Below are 5,034 nucleotides of genomic sequence, written 5' to 3'. Positions count from 1 at the left end.
TAATGCAGTCTTTTTCCCATCTCTTCCTTTCAGTCTTCCATGGTTAAACAGTGTTGTCAGTTTCTTATGTATCTTCCTGGGATGCTTTTATGCACATTCAAGCAAATACATAGATATTCCCTTTCAGCCTTTTAACACCCAGCAGTATATAACACATTGTTCTACATCTTAACAATGTGTCTTGGAGATTGTTCTATGTCAGCAAAACACTTCCTTATTCTCTGTTTTTTTACAACTTCATAGTGTCCCATTACATGAATGATGATGTACCATAAATTATTTAACTAGTCCCCTATTGATGAACATTTAGGTTGTTTCCAATCATATGATATTTTTAAATGCTGTAACAAATAACCTTGTACTACTCATTTTTAAAAGTTTTTTTTCAGACATTTTCATGGGATCTGGAAGGCTAAAATTTACATATATTTTAACACTGACCAATCAACTTTTAACCTAAACACATTACACTTGAAGAAAGATGATTTATGGGTTATTGTTTATTTTCCATTAGTGAGACTGATGCACAGTAAATTATGTGTGTTATACACCCTCTTCAAAGCCAGACTTCACATTTTAAAGTGTTCAATGCAAAGTCCTATCTAACATTAAGGATATGTGTGATTCTTCATGTGGATCTGCAGCAGAAAGCTGAAGATGACGTGATCTCTGGTACCTCCATTCAGAATACTGCATTTGTTAGCTGGATTGGAAAGAAGCAACTTCAGGAGACACTTCTTTGAATCAGTTCATTTGTTCACATCAACATTCACTGAGTGCCTAATGTGAGCCAGGTGCTGAGCTGGACCCTGGGGATACAAAGAAAAAGATGATAGTCCCTGCTTTGCCAGGAGTTTCCAGTTCAGAGAAGCTGACCAATACATGAGCAGACAGACAATCATAAACAGTGTGAAAAGCACCACTGTAGAAGTGAACACAGAGTGCTGTGGGAACAAGAAGGAGGAGTACCTACACACCCAGGGGGTGGGGCGGGGTGGGGTGGGATAGAATGCATGTCTGCGAAGCCTCTCTAGAAGCAAAGACACCTGTCATAACTTTGCATCCTGTCTTGCAGCACTCCACTGACAAATCTCAACATTCAGTGTCCATCTGCTGTCCTTGGCCTTTCTAGTCTGGAATCTTCCATCCTTTTCCATTCTGCAGAAGTCTTCTAGTTGGTTATGTTTATTCTGGCACTCCAATGGCTCAGGAAGAGTAACATAGGAGGGGCGTGGGGATAATCACCTCCAGCATAGATGAGTGTGGTTGGGAATGGGGATGTTGGGTGTCTTGATCTGGTTTCTGGTATTAGTTTTCATAGTGTGCCCAGAATCCTCACTCTCCCTTTCTACCAGATGCCTACCTCCATCCCAGGTCCCCAAGGTGAGCTTTCTTGGCACATATCCACTCCAGAGTTGTATCCTAGAGGCAGGATTGTGTCCCCTCGCCACTGCCACACACTCCCCACCCCAAACACAGCAGGAGAGTCATGCTTTGAAGGGAATTCTGGAAGAAATTTCTAGTCATAAGTGGGCTCTTGGGTGCTATTGTAACCCTTGTATGACTCTAACACCTATTGCTGTGAGTTTAGCCAAACAAACAAACAACAACAAAAAAAACAAACCCATAAGTTCCCCACAGCATCTCTCTATATATTCCAAAAGGTTCTCCCATTGATGTTTCCTATGGCAAGACTGTCCGAGGGGCCTTGTGGCTAACACCGAGTAGTCAATATCCTTTCAATAAGTATTTTCCCAGCATTTGGCAAGCACTAGGCTCTCTGATAGGTCTGGGAATCCAAAATGAAAAAGACAGAGCTGCTAGTTAAGGAGATACAAAAGCCAGAGTGGACCACAGTGCACTGGGTAAGCATCCACAGTAGAGAAGTGCAGGGGATTTTGGGAGCATGCAGAAGGAGTGAGGGTGAAGAGGTGACAGACTCAGGGAAGACTTCCTGGAAGAGGAAGCCCTGAAGGAATTTTCTGGGTCAGGAAAGAATACATTCCAGGTACAGGAACTAGCATGTGGAAGGACCCACAGGCTGGAACTCATGGGCTCGTTCTTCTCTTACGGCTGCAGGCTTGGGATCAAAGCCTTCCTCTGGTCTCTGCACAGCACCTCAGGTTCTCCAGTCAGCCCTTAATGTGGAACATGAAATATCAGGTGTTTATAGAACAAAAAGTTCCCTTTCTTCCACGGTGAAGGGTCTCAGGGATGGCATGCTCTGCAGGTGGGCACATAGTTGGCACCTGTTTTCCTTCAAATATCAGCCTGACATGATTGAACATTTAAGACTTGTCTGTGTGGTTCTAGTCCATTTTTTTAAACCTCCCTTGCTCTAGTCTCAGCCTGCCTTTTTTTTTTTTTTTTTTTTTTGAGACAGAGTCTTGCTGCGTCGCCAGGCTAGAGTGCAATGGCGCGATCTCTGCTCACTGCAATCTCCATCTCCCAGGTTCAAGTGATTCTCATGTCTCAGCCTCCTGAGTAGCTGGGATTACAGGTATGCACACCACGCCTGGCTCATTTTTGTATTTTTAGTAGAGACAGGGTTTCACCACGCTGGCCAGGCTGGTCTGGAACTTCTGGCCTCAAGTGATCTGCCCACCTTGGTCTCCCAAACTGTTGGGATTACAGGCGTGAGCCACCATGCCTGGCCTCAGCCTGCTTTCTGCATCTCCCCTAGAGCTCCAGGACTTTAGTAGGCTAGCTCCTGGCTCCACTGCCCAGAAACCCCTCTCCACAGCCTTTCCCCGCCTACCCTGCAATTTACCTCTACCATGATCCTTCTTCTTGACTTAACTCATTCAGGGCTCTCTCTCTCTCTTTCCAACTTCTAACTGGTGTCCTCCAGGCTGCCCTCTTCAGTTCAGACCACAGGCTTGGGCAATTTCTGTCTCTCTGATTCTTCCTGTGGTCTGTTCCTGACAACCCCTTGGGGGCTGTTTGTGAAATGTGCCCTCTGCTTCTAACTCATCTCTTAGGTATCCTCACAGGAGACTGCCTTCTTAGTGGGGGCCTGACGCAGAAGACCTCTAGTTCTCCCACAGTGTCTTCTGGGGCCAGGCCCGCTGTTTCTCACTGAGGCTCGGAGAAAGGCAATGACTTACCATGGTCATGCAGCATGTTAGCGGCAGAGCTGAGAGTACCCCAGGCCTCCTGACTTCCAGCCCAGTAGTCTTTTCCAGGAATCAAGCTGCCTCTCGGAAGACTCAGGTCTTCTAGCCAGCATCAGCTCCCACCCACTGACTGCACTGTGCACCCATCTCTGTTAGCACTTCCTTCCTGAGCCACTTCATTAAAACTGAAGCTGGCCCGTCCAGGCTTCTGACTCAGCAGCCCAGCAAAGAACATCCAGCCATGTCTGCATCTGATTAAGGAAACGCCAGGGGCAGGAAATATATATATATATATATTTTTTTCCTGGCTGAGTCAAGGGGTGCAAAAGGAGGTGGAGAGATTCAGTAAAATAGTTAAGATTTGAGTAGAAGGTAATCTTTCAGCACAAGATGTACCACAGGGACCACAGGGGTGGAAGAGAAATGGAAGGGCTTTATCAAAAGATTTAGGATTACTAGTTAAATACATTTTGGTACAGAAGTATATTACTGGCTTAGAAGGACCCCTGTGATACACTGATAGTGCAAATATCATGGCAGAAATAGGATGTCCCCAGTTTTTTTTTTTTTTTTTTTTTTTTGACAGAGTTCCACTCTTGTTGCCCAGGCTGGAGTGCAGTGGCATGATCTCGGCTCACTGCAACCTCTGCCTCCTAGGTTCAAGCGATTCTCCGGCCTCAGCCTCCTGAGTAGCTGGGATTACAGGCACCTGCCACCACGCCCAGCTAATTTTTGTACTTTTAGTAGAGACGGGGTTTTGCCATGTTGGCCAGGTTGGTCTTGAACTCCTAACCTCAGGCGATCCGCCTGCCTCGGTCTCCCAAAGTGCTGGGATTACAGGTGTGAGCCACTGCAACCGGCCCAGTTCCAGTTTTGTAAAAATAAGTTGAGAGTGTCCCTAAAGTGCTTATGAGTAGTAGCTAAAAGTTCCCCTCCATGCTCTGCACCCATGTTAATTTTTGCCCACAGGTAGATAATTGGAAAACAATTACCACAACCTTTGATAGCTATTGTGGCACGGGTGTTCCCCTGTGAATAAGTGGAGTTGGGAATCTTTCTTCATCACAGTGCCCCATGGTGAACTGCGCCATCTTGGTAAGCGTGGACCTGGGACAGTTTCCACTAGAGCACTTCCACATATAACTCAATAGCCCGTATCTTTGACATCAGGATGTTTTCTGACTTTGAGGAGAAGGATGTCCTGGTACTCCTTGTCACAGGGTGGCTGATGCCTGGAGCCCTCTCTCTCCCCTGACATCGGGGAACCAACCACATCTGAAGCAGTTTCAAATAAGCAGTAGGGTTGATATCTGTTCTGGGTTGAACAGTGTTCCCCTCCCCAAATTCATGCCCATGTGGCACCTGTGAATGTGACTTTTTTGGGGGGGAAATACTTTGTAAATGTAATTAGTGAAATTAATATAAGGTCAAACTGAATTAAGGTGGGCCCTAATTCAATGACTAGTGATCTTATAAGAAGAGGGAAATTTGAACACAGACAAACACAGAGGGAAAACAGCCATGCAAAAACAGAGGCAGGGATTGGAGAGATGTGTCTACAAGCCGCAGAACATCAAGGATTGCTGGCAACCATTAAAAGCTAGGAAGAAACAAGGAAAGACCCTCCCCTAGATCCTTTAGAGAGAGCATGGCCCTACCAACACCTTCAAGTTCAGACTTCTGGCCTCCAGGACTGTGAAAGAATACATTTCTATCATTTTAAGCTCCCCAGTTTGTGGTAATTTGTTATGGCAGCCCTTGGAAACTAATACAACACTTCTGTAGAAGAAAGTGGCTCCATCTTTTGAAATGCTGCTCCAATCATGACCTGAGCAGAAAGATGTTCATCAGCAGAGGACACACAGTCAAGCGGAGGAACCGCATGGCTCTTTGATTATGCTCTACACTCCTCTACATG

At 45.7% G+C, this 5,034-nt stretch overlaps 1 long non-coding RNA gene across 2 annotated transcripts; it reads right to left on the bottom strand.

Moving 5' to 3' along the window:
* Positions 1 to 482: 482 nt before the first annotated feature.
* Positions 483 to 3,369, bottom strand: LINC00892 (long intergenic non-protein coding RNA 892). 2 transcript variants are annotated; one of them, NR_038461.1, is made up of 3 exons: positions 3,108 to 3,369; positions 2,039 to 2,138; positions 483 to 809 (listed from the first exon to the last, which is right to left on the bottom strand). It is a non-coding gene; the product is annotated as a long intergenic non-protein coding RNA 892 (long non-coding RNA). The 2 variants fall into 2 exon arrangements; NR_038462.1 differs by having other exon boundaries at positions 2,072 to 2,138.
* Positions 3,370 to 5,034: the final 1,665 nt, after the last annotated feature.

This window comes from Homo sapiens, chromosome X (assembly GCF_000001405.40).
Source record: "Homo sapiens chromosome X, GRCh38.p14 Primary Assembly".
Taxonomy (NCBI): Eukaryota; Metazoa; Chordata; class Mammalia; order Primates; family Hominidae; genus Homo; species Homo sapiens.
This window is presented reverse-complemented; position numbering and strand designations above follow the sequence as displayed.